Source organism: Homo sapiens, chromosome 11 (assembly GCF_000001405.40).
Source record: "Homo sapiens chromosome 11, GRCh38.p14 Primary Assembly".
Classification (NCBI taxonomy): Eukaryota; Metazoa; Chordata; class Mammalia; order Primates; family Hominidae; genus Homo; species Homo sapiens.
This window is the reverse complement of record NC_000011.10, coordinates 34,267,863-34,288,956: the sequence shown is the minus strand read 5'-3', so window position 1 is coordinate 34,288,956 and position 21,094 is coordinate 34,267,863. Positions and strand designations below refer to the sequence as shown.

Below are 21,094 nucleotides of genomic sequence, written 5' to 3'. Positions count from 1 at the left end.
GGTCTCCATTTGAAGGCAGAGGTAGGGATTGGGAGTATGTGATTAATAAACCCAGAGGGACTATGAAGGTCACTGCTGATGTTATGACCAGATGCAGGAACGTCCAGAGGAAGGCTATGCTTCGTGTCAGGGCCATAGAGCAGAGCGTTTCCATGTATCTTCTGTCACAGCCCCTATACCTTCCTTGTGCACCCAGGAGAGGAGTGATTTCTGCAACAACACAGAGGCCTAGCCTGCAGGAGAGTGACCTTGGAAACGTGGCTGAGGGTCATCCTTCACTGTCATCTCCCGGTGGGCCTGTGAGCTCCCTAACTACCCCCTCCCGCCCCTACCCTCCTCCTGGGCCGAAAACAACCAAGAGACTAATGAGGCAATGGAAGAATCACACTCTGTCTGTTCTGGGCTCTGTCTGTTCTGTTACAATTTTTTTCAGACCTGATTTAAAGTGCTCAGAAAACTTGCAAGGGGCACATGGCTTCTAGGGGACCCAGCTATTGGAAATCTTTGATTGTTCTTGCACTTAGGATAACTCTGAAGAGTGACCTTATCTTTTGTTTGTTTTCTTTGTTTATGCAATGGGGTGTTTTTAGGTGATTGAATAGAAATTCGTGAAGAAAAAGTAAGATGGATAAAAGGATGGATAGAAGAACAGATCTAGCTAAGTAGGTGATAAGACAAGTATAGCAAAATGTAAATGATAGGCTGTAGTCTAAATAGTGGTTATAAAGGTGTTCACTGTAAAAAAGCTTTCAACTTACTGGCTTTTTTCTGGAGTATGTGAAAAGAAATGCTTTCAACTTTCCTATATGTCTGAAATTTTTAATAATAAAATATTGGGGGAAATGAGTTGAAATATCTGGAAAAATAAAATTTAGATAATGGCTAGAGAAAATTTTCATGGATTTGGGATTCAACATACCACCCCCAGCCTCATTATTATCCCCATTGTGTTCAAGCTCTCTCTTCCTCGTGGCTTATTCATTCGGTCTTGATCATCTCTGGCCATCATGTTCTAAGTGATGTGGATACGATGGTGGGACAAGGTGGCTCTCTGACTGTGGAACATGCATCCTTTCACTTTTCTGGGGGAGTGGAGACAGACAAGCAATAGTGAGATGTTCTATAAAAAAGAAAAAAAATACCACGGAAACAGAGTGAGGAGAGGGTTCAGCTGCCTTACGGAGAGGGCTCAGGAAAGGCCTCTCCAAGGTAAAATAGAAGGGGACCCTCGAAGTCAAGTAATACCTGGGGAAGCCCTAGCTTGTGCGGAGAGCCTCTGTATGTTGTGCAGAAAACTGTCTTCAAAAATTGGAAGATTTCTGAAGAAGTAGGTCTATTTGGTGACTGGAACCAACTGCTCATTCATAGTTGCAGAATTGCCCCAGCCATATAAAGAGGAGATCTGTTTATTTATTTATTTGGCAGAGTCTTGCTCTGTCACCCAGGCTGGTGTGCTCTTAGCTCACTACAGCCTCCACCTCCCAGATTCAAGCGATTCTTCCACCTCAGAGTCCTGAGTAGCTGGGACTACAGGCGCACATCATTAATTTTTGTATTTTTAGTAGAGACAGGGTTTTGCCATGTTGGCCGGGCTGGTCTCAGGCTGGTCTCAAACTCCTGGCCTCTCAAAGTGCTAGGATTACAGGCATGAGCCACCACACCCAGCCAAGAGATCTCTTCTTTTGCTGTGTATATTTTTTAAATTATCATACAGTAAATTTGACTTTTAAGGGTGTGTGTACAGTCCTATGAGTCTTTTTTTTTTTTTTTTCAATAAAGACAAGGTCTTACTATGTTGCCCAGGCTGGTCTTGAACTCCTGGGCTCAAGCAGTCTTCCCACCTCAGCCTCCCGAAGTGCTGGGATTACAGGCATGAGCCATGACAGCACCCAGCCCAAGTCCTATGAGTTAACACATGTATTCATTTGTGCAACCACCACCATGATGAGGAGGCAGAACAGTTCCATCCCTCCAGAGCTCCCTCCTGCTATGCCTGATAGTCACACCCTTCCCTCCCCCAGCCCCGGCAACCACCAATCTGTTCTCCATGGTGGTAGTTCTGTCTTGTGTGAATATCATATAAATGGAGTCATGCAGTATATAAGCTTTTGAGGCTGGTTTCTTTTACTCAGCATAATGTCCGTGAATATGTTTCTAAGCCTCCAAGGGGAGACATGTTGAGAGTCCTAGCTAAAAGGCTTTTGTTTTGCTGGGAATGATGAGAAGAGCAGAAACAGCATGAAAATGGTGATGGATGGTGAGAACCAAAAACAGGAATGGGAGATCTAGAGGTGGATGCTGGAAGAAGGGTGCTGGCGAAGGAACCTAGGAATGGAAAGGGGGATCTTTTTTAAAATATTTTGAGGCCGGGCATGGTGGCTCATGCCTGTAATCCCAGCACTTTGGGAGGCCAAGGCAGGTGGATCACTTGAGGTCAGGAGTTCAAGACCAGCCTGGACAACATGGTGAAACCCCATCTCTACTAAAAATACAAACATTAGCTGGGTGTGGTGGCGGGTGCCTGTAATCCCAGCTACTCAGGAGGCTGAGGCGGGAGAATCGCTTGAACTGGGGAGGCAGAGGTCGCAGTGAGCCGAGATCGTGCCACTGAACTCCAGCCTGGGTAACAGAGCAAGACTCCGTCTCAAATAATAATAAAAATAATAAAGTAGGGTCTCACCGTGATGCCCAGGCTCGTCTTGAACTCCTGGCTCCAAACGATCCTCCTGCCTCTGCCTCCCAAAGTGCTGGGATTACAGGTGTGAGCCACCACATCCAGCCTAAAATTTTTCTTTACTAATTTTTTTTTTTTTGAGACAGGGTCTTTCTATGTTGCCCAGGCTGGCCTCAAACTCCTGGGCTCAGGCAGTCATCCTGCCTCTGCCTCCCAAGTAGCTGAGACTACAGGCGATTATAATGTTTTCTTCTATAAATGTGCAATGTAAATCTCTTTTGTTTTCCCCAACTATAGTATTGGGTCATTGAGTTGAATTTATTTGGGCAATGTACCAAGAGACTCCTTTCCCAAGGTGCAAGTAGGCCCAGGACAGAGGCTGCCCATCAAGTTTAGACCATCCCAGTTACAGACACAAGATGCAGGAGGGGAACTTTTAGCTTAGTAAAAGAAGAAACAACGGAGTAAAAGAAGTGCTTGCCTCTCAGTAACCTGGGCATCTCTTCCCAAAAAGCAGTCAGAAGCACCCAGCCAATTGAGATGTCATAGAGGCCCATGCTGGGAGAGTGGTTGGAGAGCGCTACCCAGCTCTTAAAAATACTGAAATCCCTGAGTGAATCTAGCATTTTGTGCACGTGTGACGGCTCCAGGGTAGAGCAGCAGGCCCCTGTGTTCCCAGCCATGCTATCTTAAGGATGAACCCTCGCCTGGCCTCCCTAAGATTGCACGTATAGAATGGCCTTGTAAACTACAAACCTTTTGAGGTGTTTTTGTTATTACTGTCCATTTCTGCACCTTTGTGGTTAAGAAGGCCTGCAAGATAATTAAAAGAGGGGAAAAAAGGGCCACCCTGTTTTCCGTTGGCAAGGATGCATTGCCATGTTCCTCTGGTTACCGCCAGAGCAAAGCACGCACTAGGTCCTGCTATATAATGATGAATCCCCAGGGACCCCCGATAGTGATCGATAGCACCCGCCTAACTCTGGGGCTTGCATAATGAGCTGCGTAGCCCTGCCAGAGTCATCATCCAGCCTCGGGGAAACCTCCCCTCCCCCACTGTCCACTTGTACAGCAAATGTCCCCCTCCCCACCGGTCCCCTCGGTTGGGTTTCCTTTTGATTGGCAGAGACCCTGTGATTTCCGCCTGGATTGCCTGACAGCCCCCCTCCGCCTGGTCTAATTATGCCAGGGCTGTTCTTGGGCCACAGCGACCCCAGGAAGGCTTTATCAGATTGTCCAACTGACCGTGACCAGATCTCCAGCACCTGCCTCTTTTGCTGACTGAGGATGGAAGGTGTTTACACACAGCGGAGCTGGCAGCTGATTGACTGGCCAGGGTCCTGGGCTGAGGACGGCCAGTCTGAGTGTCAGTGATGAAAAATGGGGTCTGCCTCTCCACCCAGCCTCATTAACACCCCTCTGGCTCCAGGCGGTATCAGGTGGGGTGTGTGCAGGCACACAGCCTGCTGCCAGTGTTCAGGGCCTCCTGACAGATTTCTGGCTGCAGTGCTGGACTTGGGTCCATCTCTTATCATTTTAATTTATTTACAAATATTTATTTATTTTATAAATGTTCCTATGTGTGTTTAAGCCCTCCGCTTTCTCCACCTCTCTGGTTACAGTTACCCATCCCCTGCTTCTTGTTCATCCGTCAACAACTCACCCTAAGTATGACCTCCTCACCTCTGTCTTCCACTCTCACACCTTTTCTTCCAGCGTCAGCTTTCATGGAAGCCAGTCAATAATTCCTGTTTGCAGGCCGATTTATTAGTGTGATTAAAGTTCTGTTTCTGAATAGAAGCTTTGGTGCTGCCTGCCTTTTCCAGGTACCCAAGGGTGATTCTGGTTATACAAAGAGGTTCTGTAAGGCAGCTCAGACATTGGGGCCAATCCTTCTGGTCACTCTGGCAAATGGCCCATTTTGATAAGAACATTAAATCATCCAAATCCTTTAGGGTTACACGGGGGTCATTTGCTCATTAATCACCAGTGGCCTGAGAAGCTAAAGGTTTCCCAAAGCTGAGCCATCTCTGCCCTACAGGATGATGTGACGTGGCCCATTGTCTCAGTTCAGCTGAGCATCCCTGGGCTGAGCCCAGTTCTTCTATCTGAGACATGGATTGGGCCTTACAGCCCAGAGTGAGGTCTCTGCACCAGCAGCATCGGCATTACCTGGGGGCTCGTTAGAAATGCAGACTCTCAAAAGCCCCACCATAGACCTCCTGTATCAGAGCCCTGTTTGGACAAGATCCCAGGGATTCATGTGCATGGCACAGTTTGAGATGCTCTGCATTATCAATCCAGGTAGGGAAGCCCTCCTTTAGATTTACCAAGAAGCTGGAGAACTCAGCAACTTACTTCCATAAAACTGGCTAGTGAAGCATTCTCTCTTCCTTCTGGCTTTAGAAAGGATCTTATTAGGAGATAAGAAAGCCAGTTGGAAGCCTGGTTGCTGAGAGTAAGGAACCAAATGTGGCCCCTGGGACTAAGTTTCCTGGCAGCTGTGTCTCCTTATTCTTGGGGAAATATTTTGCAGTTGAAAGACCACCTACAAAAAATAGTATCCTCAACGGTCACCTTGTGATGCTACCCTCTATGCTGGCTGGCATTTAGTTATAATATTCTGTCCTGACCCATGCTCTAATTTGCCTTTGATTAAATTTGGAACTTTGAAGCTTAGATTTATGAGATGGTATTTTTTCTCAATATATACTTTGATACTTGCTAAATGGATATATGCTACTTCTTTAATCAAGACTTTTTTACAGGCTGGGTGTGGTGGCTCACACCTATAATCCCAGAATTCTAGGAGGCCAAGGTAGGCGGATCACTTGAGGTCAGGAGTTCGAGATCAGCCTGGCCAACATGGTGAAACCCCATCTCTACTAAAAGTACAAAAATTAGCTGAGCATGGTGGCACGTGCCTGTAATCCCAGCTACTCCAGAGGCTGAGACATGAGAATCACTTGAACCCAGGAGGTGGAGGTTGTAGTGAGCTGAGGTCGTGCCACTGCACTCCAGCCTGGGTTACAGAGCGAGATTCCATCTCAAAAAAAGAAAAAGATGGCCGGGCACGGTGGCTTACGCCTGTAATCCCAGCACTTTGGGAGGCCGAGGCAGGCGGATCACGAGGTCAGGAGATCGAGAATGTCCTGGCTAACACTGTGAAACCCCATCTCTACTAAAAATACAAAAAAAAAAAAAAAATTAGCTGGGCATGGTGGCGGGCGCCTGTAGTACCAGCTACTTAGGAGGCTGAGGCTGGGGAATGGCGTGAACCCGGGATGCGGAGCTTGCAGTGAGCCGAGATCGTGCCACTGCACTCCAGCCTGGGCGACAAAGCGAGACTCCATCTCAAAAAAAAAAAGAAAAAGACTTTTTAAAATTTTATAACTAATGCATTCAACATAGACAAACTTAAAAAATATGGATCATGAAAAGCACATTACAAGGCCAGGCACGGTGGCTCATGCTTGTAGTCCCAGCATTTTGGGAGGCCGAGGTGGGCGAATCACCTGAGTTCAGGAGTTTGAGACCAGCCTGGCCAACATGGTGAAACCCCGTCTCTACTAAAAAAAAGAAAAAAAAATTAGCCAGGTGTGGTGGTGCATGCCTGTAATCCCAGCTACTTGGAAGGCTGAGGCAGGCTAATTACCTGAACCTGGGAGGTGGAGGGTGCAGTGAGCCAAGATTGCGCCACTGCACTCCAGCCTGGGCAACAGAGTGAGACTCTGTCTCCAAAAAAAAAGAAAAGAAAAGAAAAAAGAAAAGTACGTTACATCAATCTATCTCACTGCTTGGAGTTTGTGTCAAGATGTTGATGTGCATATAGATATTTTCTTTACAAAAGTGTGATCTCACTTTTAATACTATTTTAAAACCTGCTTTTCACTCAATGTATTATAAATATCTTTCCAAATCAATAAATACAGCTCTTCTACATGTTCATTTTCAATGCCCTACAAGGTATTTCATTATATGAAATGTTCTATATTACAATGGTCTTAATGTTTGTGTCCCCTCCCCACCCCAGATTCATATGTTGATACCTAATCACCAATGGGATTATATTAGGAAGTGAGACCTTTGGGAAGAGGCCCCAGAGAGCTGCTTCGGCTCTTCCACCGTGTGAGGATGCAGGGAGAAAGTGCCATCTATGAACCAGAAAGCAGGCCCTCATTGGACACTTATCTCCCTTGATCTTGTACTTCCCAGTCTCCAGAACCATAAGAGATGAATTTCTGTTGTTTCTAAGTCACCTACCTACATTATGGTATTTTGCTAGAACAGCTCAAACGAACTAAGACATATATAATGGACTTATGTAATCCATCGCCTATTACTAGGTATTTTGATTTATAGTTTATTTGTCCTCTGTTATATCAGCACTGCTGTGAACTTCATCTGTACCAAAATATTTCCATACAGTCTCAATGACTTGTTTGGGATAATTTTTTGAATAATATCAAAGTGTGACATTTGAATAAGAGAAGAGGCACAGTGTTCCAAGAGCTAGAAGGTGAAGGTAAGCCTTGCTTCCATCCTGCGATGTAGCTTCGTGTCTGTGAATAGCAAGCAACTTCAGATGAATAAGCTATCAACATACTGGAACTCGGTGGTGCAGCTTCCTTGTGGGGATGACTCTTAGGAATCATCTGGATTTTCTGAAGAAAACAAATCATTTGGGTTCTGGCCTTCATTGCCCTGCCCAGCGGGAGTCCCCGAAGGGCTGTGCTAGAATTTCAGAGCATGGTTGGCACAGCGTTGGTGAAGGTTACAGGATTGTCTAGACAAAAGGGCCCAGGGGAGGCACAGAGGCTCTGTTAGTGGGTGGAAGGGATGATGCTGTGTGTATGTATTGAGCCACACCCTGGATTTCAGTAGGAGCCAGAATAATTCTGAGGCTTGGGTGTGGGCAGCTGTGCTAAACAGGGAACTCAGGGTGGTTTCAAGCCAGTACAGAGCTAGGACCTGGGATCTAAGATTGGAGCAGACACACATGGAGAAGCAGATAGCGGAATCAGGATCAGCTGTCTGAGTGGGAAGGTCTTAGAGAACCCTTGCTAGGTGTTCACCAGGAAGATGCCCACACCTGTACACTGGATGGGGGTGCATGTTCCTGGGCCAGGAGGGACCACGCTGGGTGTTCTGCTTGCTGAGACAGTGGTTTGGGTGGAGGTTCCCATTCCTGGAATGCCTAGAACTTTGCTGCTTGGCCCAGTATGTTCTGGGCTCCCCCATTTAAGGCAACTATGACCACTTTCATTGCCACCACCTCCTCCTAGCTTGAAACAACCTCCCCTGCTTTGCTCTATCTGTGCCACAATTAAGGAGCTTCCCATTTTCTTCATTATATTGCGGGTAGTTATATGTGTATCTTAGGAAAAGTAGTATGGTGTGAGGAAAGCACCCAAGGACTTTGAGTCCACTGCCTCTTCACTTAATGTTCTGGCTCCTCCAATTGCTGCATCACCCTTGGGTAAGCTAATTAACTTCTCTGAGCCTGAGCATCCGCATTTATTAAACAGGGATTAGATACTTACCTCGCAGGGTGGTTGTAAGGATTAGAAGTAATGACATATAAAGCACCCCTCCCACAATTTAGTGTCTGGCCAGATGGTGGGTGTTGAGATTGTCCGTTATTACTGAGGACTTAATGTGGTCTAGTCTGTAAGGGTTGACAGATCATTGTGGCAGATCCCAGACATGCTTATTATGTTAGCAGTAGGGGCCCTGAGGTCAAAAGGCTTAGGACAGCTATCCTGCCTCCCAGACCTGGGAGGAAAAGAGAGAGAAAGAGGGGCTCCAGGGCAGTTGTCAGAGTTAGGAAGGTGCTGAGTCGCCACAGGCATCAGAGGAGGATTTTCTGAATGGGTACAGTGAGGACCCAGTGGTGCTCTCTCCTCAAACCTACCTGTTGGGAACCAGATCAGCCCAGCAGGCTGGTAGCAGAGCCATGGCCTGGGAACCTGGGTCAGCCTCACTGTCTTAGCTCCAGACTCACCCACTCCCTTTGCAATGCTGTGCTGTGTAGTGGTAAAGCCTGCACACGCTAGGTCCCATTCCTGCGCCATTCTTCCTGCTTGTGTGACCTCAGGCAAGCCCCAAACAGCCTTGTGACTCAATGTTCTCATCTGTACAATAGGGATTATGGCACCTATCGCATAGGGTCCTTGTGAGGATCAAATGTTTATTTATGAAAAGCATTTAGAGACTGGGCACGGTGGCTCACGCCTGTAATCCCAGCACTTTCGGAGGCTGAGTCAGGTGGATCACTTGAGGTTAGGAGTTTAAGACCAGCCTGACCAACATTGTGAAACCCTGTCTCTGGCCAGGTGTGGTGGCACGCACCTGTAGTCCCAGCTATTTGGGAGGCTGAGTCAGGAGAATCACTTGAACCCGGGAGGCCAAGGTTGCAGTGAGCCGAGATCGCACCATTGCACTCCAGCCTGGGTGACGAAAGCAAAACTCCATCTCAAAAAAAAAAAAAAAAAAGAAGAAGAAAGAAAAGAAAAGCATTTAGAATAGTCACTGGCTGTAAAAGTTATTTTCTCTGTGAGTGTTAGCACCTTCTAGAGTTTAGATCTTTATGTGTCGGGCCTTTTGTCTTAACATCTGATTTCTTCTTGAGAGTAGAATCCCTGTCTGGTCCATTTAACCCCCACTGTACATAGTATAAAGTTAAGGATTCATAAATAAGTGTCAGACAGATAGGTTGGGGAAGCTCAGGCTATGACGCCAAATAGATCTGAGTTCAGATTCTGGCTTTGCCCCTAACTCTGTCTGGATCTTTGACTTCTCTGGTCTCATTTCCTCATCTGTATAATGGAATAAAATAGTAGGCTCTTTATAGGATTATAATGAGGATTAAAGTAAAGAACAGACCGGGCATGGCAGCTCACTCCTATAATCCCAGGACTTTGGGAGGCTGAGGCAGAAGGATGACTTGAGCCAGGGGTTCAAGACCAGCCTTGGCAACATAGCAAGACCCCATCTCTATTTAAAAAGATAAATATAAATATATAAAGAACACATTGCAAAGCATGTGGCAGTAGTGAGCTTTCAGGAACTGGTGGTGCTAATGAATAAATAGCACCTTAGTAATGCTCATTCTATCTCACTCACAAACTGGACAGTTCATGCATTTGCTGGGGTTTCATTTTGAAGTAAGAGGATGGTTTGTTTCTGCTTAGTTTTCCCCAGTGACTGAGAACCCTAGCAAGAAAACGAAACACCTGTGCAGACACATTATACCCATGGAGCTGCATTTCTGTATGTACTTTTTGCAGGCCATTATCAGACATTACACTGCCCCAGAGGTTAATTGTAATCTCCAGAGTCCATTGCACTTCCACAGTGGCTGGGATCTTTGGCCACTTTCCCAGCCTGTTTATGGGGAGCCTGACCTGAAGCACATCTCCTAAGTGTTTTCCAAGTTGGCACTGAGTCTCTCCGACTTGGAAATGCCAGCACACAGCTTTGTGTGTGCAATGATTTAGCTCTTATGAAGGCGCCAGTGAAATGCCCACTCCTACCCGGGTGTTGGACATTTTGGAGACCTGGAAAGAAGTAAGCAGTGTTATTGACAAGCACAGGCCCTGCAGGGGACTGTGGGAAGTTAGGCATGATTCTGTCCCTTGTGCCTTAACAAGGACTGGTGAGGACACTCAGCCATTCCCTCAGTGCATCAAAATGGAGGCCAGCACATTGTATAGCCTTAGTTTCTCTATCAGGGATTAGGGTGATAATGATTAACCAGAGGACTTAGGGTCAACTAATCCCCAAAGTGGTTCTCAGAATACTATGAAAATGTAGCACAGGAAAAGGTTCCATGGCCAAATATATTTAGAAAATGCAATGCACTGTCTTTCCTTCTTTGCATTTTATAATATGCAATTTGCATATTCAAGGCCCTGAGAAGTCCTGCAGTAAGGAAACAAACTTAACCTTGTTCAGTCCAGCAGCACCCAAATCAAATTTCCATGAGCATCTTTTTCCCTTTAACATCCCCAGCAGCTAGGAAAAACACTGAAGAAATTCTAGATTATCTAATTATCCCCAAAGTTTATTTTTATTTTTTTAACTTTTTTTTTTAGTTTTTTTGTATTATATCCTGCTCCTTCTGTAGATTGCAAAAGTTTATAACAAGTGATATGTGAATATTAAGAAAGGAGAATCTGAGCCAGGCGCAGTGGCTCACGCCTGTAATCCCAGCACTTTGGCAGGGCGAGGCGGGCAGATCACAAGGTCAGGAGTTTGAGACCAGCCTGGCCAACACAGCGAAACCCTGTCTCTACTAAAAATACAAAAATTAGCCAGGTGTGATGGCAGGCACCTGTAATCCCAGCTACTTGGGAGGCTGAGGCAGGACAATCGCTTGAACCCGGGAAGTGGAGGTTGCAGTGAGCTGAGGCTGTGCCATTGTACTCCAGGCTGGGCAACAAGAGCACGACTCCATCTCAAAAAAAAAAAAAAAAAAAAAAGAGAATCTGTTGTTTTGTTTCATTTTGTTTTTGAGACAGAGTCTTGCTCTGTCACCCAGGCTGGAGTGCAGTGCTCATTATAAGCTCTGCCTCCTGGGTTCAAGCGATTCTCCTGCCTCAGCCTCCTGAGTAGCTGGGATTACAGGTGTGACCACCACACCTGGCTAATTTTTGATTTTTGTAGAGATGGGGTTCACCATATTGGCCAGGCTGGTCTGGAACTCCTGACCTCAAGTGATCCACCCACCTTGGCCTCCCAAAGTGCTAGGATTACAGGCATGAGCCACCGTACCCAGCCAAATCTGTTTGTTTTTTTTTTTAAATAAGACATTTAGGAAATGAAATGAAAAGTATTTGATAACTTCTTTTGTAGCCACTCACTCCTAGATTTTATCATGAAGAATTGCATGACTTACCAATCCACCACCCTCTTGAAATACCAGGGTCATGACATGCCAAAAGCTACCTCCACGGGCTAAGACCTGAACTTGAGTAACAAAGGTAAAATTTGAAATTTCAAAGATGTTCTTTATGAGACCCTAGATTAACTGGGGTTGCATCCAAATGGTTTCATTTGAACTTTTAAATACATACTTCTGGCTGGGCACGGTGGCTTACGCCTGTAATCCCAGCACTTTGAGAGGCTGAGTCGGGTAGGTCACCTGAGGTCAGGAGTTCGAGACCAGCCTGGCCAACATGGTGAAACCCTGTTTCTACAAAAAATACAAAAATTAGCTGTGTGGGGTGGCAGGTCCCTGTAATCCCAGCTACTCAGAAGGCTGAGGCAGGAGAATCACTTGAACCTGGGAGGTGGAGATTGCAGTAAGCTGGGATCACACCATTGCACTCCAACCTGGGTGAGAGAGCAAGACTCCATCTCAAATACGTACATACACACGTACTTCTCAGCCAAGTGGGCACCTACTGTTCTGCTAAGGGATGGAGACATGGACCTGCAGGTTCGCATTCTCCTGGATCTGAGAGGTTATTAGGTCACGTCTGAAGCCTCCATGCCAGCTAAACAAGGAACAGTGGATCAGCAGCGCACCTTGTTTATTGTTGTAGTGCTCCAGTCGTCCATCCCTCTCTCCCCTTGTCTTCTGTGACTGGTCAAGCTAATTTGATTTGACGTCCTGGCATTTGAGATTTGTCAAGTATTGTAACCCTAAGCAGTACTAATATTGAAACCCATACTTGAAATTTATGTAATCCAGATGTGCATGCCAATAAAGCAGAGATGAAATGGCAGGCCCGGATGGGGGAGAGCCAGGCTGGGTGGGGACTGTGTGTGGGGAAGAATTCTGTGGCCCTATATTTTTTCCACATGGTATATACAGCCAAGTAGGATTTTAGGAATTAATATTTTCCCTTAAGAGTAGTAACTGGATTATGAAGTATAGCTTCAAGTAAGTACCAGTATTGGTTTTATTTGTAGCCAAGAATAACTGATTAAGTTTTGAGGAGAAGGAAGGCAATCTATTTTGAGTGCTTTTTAAAACTTTTAAATTGGTTAGGACCCTTCAACAGTGTGGTCTTGGGACTTATTAGTCACATCGAATCAGAACTTTTTTTTTTTTTTTTAACCAAACAAGCAGCACTGGTGAACCAGGATTTGTGACATGGCTCTCTGATGTTGAATTTTTTCTATTTGAGCATATCATTAGAAGTCCCCCCTAAGAAACAAAGACTGTGACCCCTGAGTTGTCAATTCAAAGCCCTCCCACACTGGTAATACCCAAATGCCATTTCTATTTTCTGAGAGCTCAATGAGTAGGTGGATTAAATGTGAAAAGGTTTCTGTTCAGGTATTTGACAGTGGCCTTGATTGGAGCCTCTCTACCGTCTAGCAATGGCCCTGTTGTGTGACTTCCAGGACGACAGCTGTCTTCTCGGGCCATGACCTCTTCCACCTGTGGGATCACAGGACTGTGTCCAGCTGACCCAATGAGAATGGTATAAGTGCTTTATCTCATAGGGAGTTCTGAGTCAAAAATTTTGGTGTTCTTGACATGAAAGATTGGCAGAGTGTATTATTATTCCTTAGTGTTCTGTGCATAATTAACAACCACCCTTAACTAGACCTGGTAGCCCAGGGAAACTGGTCAGACCAGCTAGTGAAAGCAGGTGGAAAATGATCTCGAGGGAAGCACGGAGTCGGGATCCACATTGAGTGGAGGTGACTTGTAGTGGATTAGGGTGCTCATAAAAACCGTGGTTGCAGTTGGTACCAGTGTCATCTGTGGATATTTCTAGGCAGGATATCAAGGGTCAGCTTGCTACTTTAGCCCCCTCTTAAGGCAGGATACAAAAAAAAAAGAGAGCCCTGTATTCAGGGGAGGCATGTGACATGCCATGGTCCCCCATTTCCCCTGCCCTAAACATCTCTGGAGAAAGTCAAGTGTGTGTGGCTTCTACAGCAGGGCTGGATGTTTTTCCCTGGGGTAGGAGGGGCATTTACCTGCTTTTCTTCAGCCATTATTAATAGGGCTCATTCCAGGAGGGGAGGAGAATGGTGCCTGTAACTCAGACTCCCCAGCACAGCCTCGGCCTGCAGGCTTCAGCCCTGTTGGAGTCAGGGCTTGCGTAAGGAATGCTGTCATGGATCCAAGCCAGATAGATTACAAATGATGGAATCTGATGTTTCCTGTTGGGTTTGGGGAAGGGATTCAATGTGGTGTGGGCTTAGGTCCCCACAGTTTACCTCAGAAATAGTCAAGATGCAGGGAGCTGAATGAGGACTCTCGAGGCAGCTTTGCCAGCCTGGAGCCCAGGTGAGTCACTACCACCTCAGAAACATCCTTCAGAGGCCAGGATTCAGGCCCCAGGCGGGAGTCGGAGCATCCAGGCTGCTGGTCCGGTTCTCTCCACTGACGTCATCACCCCCGCTTAGTCTGGAATGGCTGGCAACCTCTGCCTGAGGATGAGAGCTGGCTGGAAGTGGAAAAGCAGGAAATGTTTCCAGATTGGAAACTCAAGGCACGTTTGCGCAATACTGCACTCGGCCAAGACTGTGTGGCTGACCTGCATGCCTAATGGGATCCCAGGTCTGAAACAGGGTTCTGCAGAACCATTGGTCTGACCTCATACCTCCCACCTAGACACAATGATATCTTCTTGGCCAAGAAAAAATGACCTGTATTTTTCTTTTCTTTTTTAATGTTATCCAGCTGAGGTGTGCCTTTAAAAAAAAGAAAAAAATATATACATACACACACACGCGTGTGTGTGTGTGTGTGTGTATATTCCAATCCACTACTTAACGCAGGGATGCAAAGATCATATTAAAACGGCTATAACCAGAAATAAGACAACTGAAAGAATCATAGTATTAATAAAGGGCAAACTGAGAGTCCAGGTGAGAGGAACTGCAGTCTCTGGTGATGGAGTGCAGCCTGGTGGTTTAGAGCTCCAAAATGGAGGCCCGTCAGCCTGGGTTTGAATCCTGGCTCTGTGGCTTACTAGCTGTGACCTTGGCTTCTGTCATCTTCTGTTCTTTTACTTATTGTAAGAAAGGGTGATAGTGCCACATCATGAATTAGTCTAAGACTCGAGTGCACTTCCACGCAAAGTAAGTCCTTAGTAACTGGTAGCTGTTATCATAGTTAAATATCTTTTTTTTTTTTTTTTTTTTTTTTTTTTTTGAGACGGAGTCTCGCTCTGTCGCCCAGGCCGGACTGCGGACTGCAGTGGCGCAATCTCGGCTCACTGCAAGCTCCGCTTCCCGGGTTCACGCCATTCTCCTGCCTCAGCCTCCCGAGTAGCTGGGACTACAGGCGCCCGCCACCGTGCCCGGCTAATTTTTTGTATTTTTAGTAGAGACGGGGTTTCACCTTGTTAGCCAGGATGGTCTCGATCTCCTGACCTCATGATCCACCCGCCTCGGCCTCCCAAAGTGCTGGGATTACAGGCGTGAGCCACCGCGCCCGGCCAAATATCATTATTTTTGAGGCAGGGTCTCACTTGTTATAATTATTGTTATTCCTTCCCTCCAGCCTGCTTTAGAGTGATGCCCATGATGCAGTCAAAGGTGTCTGAGTTCCTTTCACTTTTCTAGATCGTTGCCCCAGTACTAGTGCATAAAGGGATGCAAGGTTTTAGGAACTTTGACCTTGAAGCCAGACTGTGTAGCCACCGTCACTTCTCTCTGGGAGGCTGTTGTCAGATCAGGCCCTGTTCCATCCCTCTCCTCGGAGGTCTGCCAGTGTTACTCAGCCATGAAGCCCATCAAGGGGCCACAGTTCAGATGGAGGAGGAGTCTTTAAGCAGAAGACAGAATGCCTGGGGATGCTGTTGTCTGGGGTCAAATGCTGGCTTCGTCCAGTGGAGAAGTGAGTAGAACCAGCCCACTGTATCCCTTCTGCATCCCCTGCCAGCTTACTCTCTGAAGCAGCAAACCTGGAGTCGGTCGAGGTTCCCCAACAGAGAGACCCCGGGCCTTGCAAGAGCAGGCCTGGACAGCCTGGAGTTTTCTCTCAAAATTGTAACATGGGTTTATTCCAAAACAAAGCAACAAAAGTAGACCCCTGGTGTATCCTTGGCTCACTTCCATAAAGCATCACAACCATTAACCAAAGGAAAAGAAGGCCTGAGCCCTGTGGCGGAAGTCAGGCCAAGATTTTCCTCACTCCCCTCCCTTTCTGGGACCCAGGAATAGTAAAAATAGTAAACATAATTATAACAAAAAATTTAAAAAAATTTTTTTAATTTAAAAAAAGCTAAAAATCATGGAATGTTTGCTAAATGTCAGGACGGTTTAAGTACTTTATATATATTAAGTTATTTAATCTTCCTAGCCTTTAAGAAACGCTATTATTGTTGTTTCCCTTTTACAGATTAGGGGACTAGGGCACAGAGCAGTTATGTAATTTGCTTAAGGTCACACAGCTAGTAGTGGCCATGCCAACTTTAGAACTCAGACAGTCTGGAATTAGAGGCTGTACACTTAACCACAGCTCTGAACTGCGTCTCATGATAGTTATCAAGTTGTTATAGAAATAAACCATATATACGATAAAATGATATCAAACTATACATACACAACATTATTCCAGTGTGTATGGTTGGTTGGTTTTTTTTTTTTTTTTTTTTTTTTTGAGACGGAGTCTTACTCTGTCGCCCAGGCTGGAGTGCAGTGGTGTGGTCTTGGCTCACTGCAAGCTCCGCCTCCCAGGTTCACGCCATTCTCCTGCCTCAGCCTCCCGAGTAGCTGGGACTACAGGTGCCCGCCACCACATCTGGCTAGTTTTTTGTATTTTTAGTAGAGACGGGGTTTCACTGTGTTAGCCAGGATGGTCTCAATCTCCTGACCTCGTGATCCACCTGCCTTGGCCTCCCAAAGTGCTGGGATCACAGGCGTGAGCCACCACGCTTGGCCTGCCAATGTGTATGGTTTTTTAGTTTTGCTATTATACTCTAATTGTGTGAGATTTAACCATCTGGGGAAAGTGAGCAAAGAATACACAGGACCTTTCTGTATTCTTTTTTTTTTTTTTTTTTTGCAGCTTCCTGTGACTCTATAATTATTTCCAAATAAGAGGTCAGAACAAAAGCAAACCACAATCAACAGTGTATTGAATTCTTATTGTATGCCAAGCACTGTGATAAACATTTAACATTTATTATTTTATTTACTCCTAACAGCAACCCAATAAGATGTGGGTACTATCATTATCTTTAGTTACAGATGAGGAAACTGAGGGTTGGCAAGGTTAATAAGTTGGATACCATCAATAAGAAGTAGTATGACCACTGGGTAGTACCCACCTAGATTTATTATAAACATCAAATCAGAAAAAGCACCTGGTATATGGATGTTCTGTAAATGTTGATTTCCATGTGTTTGCTTGGCAAGCACAGAGCCCTGCTAGGTGCCATACACAGTCTAGCATTAGCCAGTCCAAGCCTCTGCTGGTTTGGCTCACAGGATGCTAGGGATATAAGGACAAGTACAACATGTTTCCACCATCAAGGAGCATATAGTTGGGGAACAGTGACTTCCATGGTTCCAAAGGCAAGTTGTATGTATGTATGTATGTATGTATGTATGTATGTATGTATGTATGTATTTGAGATAGGGTCTCACTCTGTCGCCTAAGCTGGAGTGCAGTGGCACAATCACAGCTCATTCAGCCTCAACCTTCTGGGCCCAAGCAATCCTCCTACCTCAGCCTCCCAAGAAGCTGGGACCACAGGTGTGTGCCACCATACCCAGCTAATTATTTTTTGTAGAGGTGGAGTCTCCCTGTGTTGCCCAGGGTAGTCTCAAACTCCTGAGCTCAAGCAATCCTCCCATCTTGGCCTTCCAAAGTGCTGGGATTACAGGCATGAGCCACCACTCCTGGCCTAGTTGTATGTATTTAGCATATGAACCCAGAGGAAGTACCCTCCTACCTCAGAGCTCCCTCCCCTGGAGCCAGAGTCTGGATGGTTGGACCCAAGCCAGGCACCTTCCTGGGACTCAAGGACACAGTGAGGGTTTGAAAGAGGGAGCATTATCAATCACCATGTTGGATGGCATCAGTGATTATTATCTTCATTTCCATCAAAGGTGTCTTGTGAAAGGGTGTCATCAAGTTCAATTTAGTCTGAATCAGGACATGGCAAGGACTTATTTTCTATTTCTGCCCTGGGCTGGACCTGTCTTGAATAATTCAGTGTTCATCATCTACTTCTAAAAGCCGAGCTTCCTGCACTTCCCCGCCATCACCCGTCCCTATACAGCTTTATCCAGGGTCATGTGGCTGCTTGTTACTCCCTGTCTCATCTCCATCAAAAACCCACCCATCCCCACCTCTGGCTGCTAGTAAATGAGTGTTTTCAGGAAAGAGAATCAACTTTAGGTATGTAGTACAAGGTATCAGCTGCCTAAAGTCAAGAGGCAGCCCTCAGGGCAAAAGGCGTCACACAGTAGCCTAGGGACATCTTTCAACCTAGCACTCTTTAAAAAAACGAAGAAAACCCAAAACTTGACGATATGCTATCATCTAAAACTTGGGAGAGTCCCTGATCTGGCAACAGCTGGCTAGAGCTGAATAGCATCTGCCCCCTCTAGATAGGCAAATGCTGTTCCCACCCCCCAAACTCCACTTGTTTACCTTGCATGCCTGGTCCCCAAGAGCATCTGGTTGTCAACCTCTGAGGTGGAGGAAGGAAAGCCCTCAGGCTGGGCACGGTGGCTCACGCCTGTAATCCCAGCACTTTGGGAGGCTGAGGCGGGCGGATCACCTGAGGTCAGGAGTTCCAGAACAGCCTGGCCAACATGGTGAAACCCCATCTTTACTAAAAATACAAAAATTGGCTAGGTGTGGTGGTAGGTGCCTATAATCCCAGCTACTCGGGAGGCTGAAGCAGGAGAATAGTTTGAACCCAGCAGGCGGAGGTTGCAGCGAGCCGAGATCGTGACACTGCACTCCAGCCTGGGCAACAGAATGAGACTCCATCTCAAAAAAAAAAAAAAAAAGGAAAACCGTCTACAGTGGTGAACAGATTAGATGTTTTCAAAGATACGTGGGCTATGTTTGATCCTGAAACCATGCAGGAAGCTGCCCACCCACCCTTCTGAGGCCAGTGTTACATCTAGTCCTCTTGGTCGGGGAGCTAGGATTCTAGAGGAGAATTCTCAGCCCTGCATCAACACCCTGACTGCGGCAGGATTTCTGAAAGAGCCATTGGGGGAACTACATGCTGACTTGGATCGTTGTGCATCCGTGCATGAAGCATCCATGAGAAAAGGGCTGGTCTGGAGTGTTTCTGGCTGATGGGTCACCAGATAAGGAGCCAGAAGACGTAAGTTTCAGTCTGGCTGTACCACTTGCTAAGTGGACATTTGACTTGTTTGATTTTCTTATCTGTAAAATGGGGATAATGTCCACTGTGCCTACCAACAGGGTGGATGAGAGGATCGAGTCACGTGATTGTATGAAAATGTTATGAACTGTGGAGTTGTATTGAAAAATTAGGTGGTGTGACAGCTATGGTAGGCTGTGGAAGCACACACAACCTCTCTGAGTGTGGAAATCAGGAGTTGACAAGCTAGGGCCAGTGGGCCAAATCCCATCCACTGCAAATGGTTTTTATATTTTGAAATGGTTGAAAGATAATCAAAAGACAAATGATGTTCCATGGCACATGGCATTTGTGTGAAGTTCAAATTTCTCTGTCCACACATGAAGGCTCGTTGGGACACAGCCTTACCATTTGGTTGCAAGTTGTCTGTGGCTGCTCTTGCTCTACAACAGACGAGGTGGGGAGTTGTGAGAGAGACCACATGGTCCACAAAGCATAAAGTATTTGCTACCTGACCCTTAGAGAAAGCTTACCAAGCTGTGGCCTAGGTCATGGAGGGGCAGAGGCTGAATCCCCTCCCTTCTTTTCCTTTGTTTCTTCTGCCACCCAGAAGTAGGTGCTACTGCAAATGGGTGGCCCAAGCAAGGAATATCTTCAGATCTCACAGAAGCAAATCTGCTGTGACCACAGCAAATCTGCCCTAAACAACAGAGCCAGGAATTTCTCCCAGTTTAATTCCTATCGAGTGCTTCCATCCTCTGAGCTCCAGCTTAGAGGCACTTCCCGATGAAAACCACAGCATTCGTTTGTAAAACCAATCCCCCTTTTAGCAACAACCACAAAAAGAGAAGGGGCTGTTCCTGTCACAGTGGGCATTTCTCCATCGTGTTCACTACCCCAGGGGCCTGGTCAGTGGTGCTTCCTCTCCTTGGCCACAAACTGGCAAGAAACACAAAGGGCAACTGCTGTTCTGATAAGGCTGTGGGGGGCATCAGCGCTGAATCATGTCCCCCAGAAGATATGTTGAAGTCTTAACCCCTAGGACCTCGGAATGTCACTTTATTTGGAAATAAGTAGGTGTGGATGTAGTTAGCTAAGATGAGGCCCCACTGGGTAGGGTGGGTCCCCCATCCAACATGCCTGGTGTCCTTAGAGTAAGAGGGGCATCTGAATACAGGGTGAGGCACACGTGGAGGATGCATGGGATGTGGAGGGCTGTGTCTAGCAGACGAGGAAGCTGGGAGGAGGCAACGGAAAACTTACCAGGGTCCCAGAGGAAACAGGGCCCTGCCGACACCTTGATTTCAGACTTCTTGCCTCCAGGAGTGTAGCAGAATAAAGTTCTGCTGTTTAAAGCCTCCCAGTTCATGGTACTTTGTTACAGAAGCCCCAGGAAACTCACGCAGTGGCTGGCCCACCCTGCCGGTGCAGCATTCCAATACCCTTCCAGTACCTGTCATTATCCCTGTTCTACAAATAAGGCAGTAAAGGCACGGCAAGTTCCAATGACTGCCTGAGGTTTTGGCTAGTGGCAGAGCAGGAATCAAACCCAGGCCCTCTGATTCCACGCTGCTGCAGTGGATGATCTGGGAAATGTCAGCCGTCCTGTCCCCATCCCTAGCATCCACTAAGAGGAGAGAGTGGGTTCTCAGACTGATGGCATCTTCTGCTTCGTGTTCCTCATTCCAGGAGCTCTGAGGTAGTTATTTTTCTACTGTGAGCATCTGAACTTATTTACTTGACTTCTTAAATATGTACAAGAAAAACATCAGGCCAGACACAGTGGCTCAAGCCTGTAATCCCAACACTTTGATAATCCAAGAGAACCCAAGACAGGTGGATCACTTTGAGCCCAAGAGTTCAAGACCAGCCTGGGCAACATGGAGAAAACCTGTTTCTCCAAAAAAAATTAAAAAGTTAGCCGAGCATGGTGGCTGGCGCCTATAGTCCCAGCTACTCAGGAGGCTGAGGCTGGAGAATCACTTCAGCCCGGGAAGCAGAGGTTGTAGTGAGCCGAGATCAAGCCACTGCACTCCAGCCTGGGCAACAGAGCCAGACCCTGTCTAAAAAAGAAATCTTAAAATAGGGAGCATGTTTTACATACATTTGTGCATTATTTATAATAAAAATTGAAGAGGAGTGAACTCTCATT

The 21,094-nt window shown here is 46.4% G+C and overlaps 1 protein-coding gene across 1 annotated transcript in view, besides 2 other annotated features; it reads left to right on the top strand.

The window, feature by feature from the left end:
- The window catches only part of ABTB2 (ankyrin repeat and BTB domain containing 2), a 207,024-nt gene that overhangs the window by 69,054 nt on the left and 116,876 nt on the right, over positions 1-21,094 (top strand). The window lies entirely within an intron of this gene.
- Positions 3,439-3,939: an enhancer, noted in NCBI's record as "H3K4me1 hESC enhancer chr11:34306565-34307065 (GRCh37/hg19 assembly coordinates)". NCBI's record gives its function as "activates a minimal SCP1, AML or CMV promoter by ChIP-STARR-seq in naive H9 embryonic stem cells {active_cell/tissue: H9 hESC(naive)}" and the evidence as "EXISTENCE:reporter gene assay evidence [ECO:0000049][PMID:30033119]".
- Positions 3,940-4,440: an enhancer, noted in NCBI's record as "H3K4me1 hESC enhancer chr11:34306064-34306564 (GRCh37/hg19 assembly coordinates)". NCBI's record gives its function as "activates a minimal SCP1, AML or CMV promoter by ChIP-STARR-seq in naive H9 embryonic stem cells {active_cell/tissue: H9 hESC(naive)}" and the evidence as "EXISTENCE:reporter gene assay evidence [ECO:0000049][PMID:30033119]".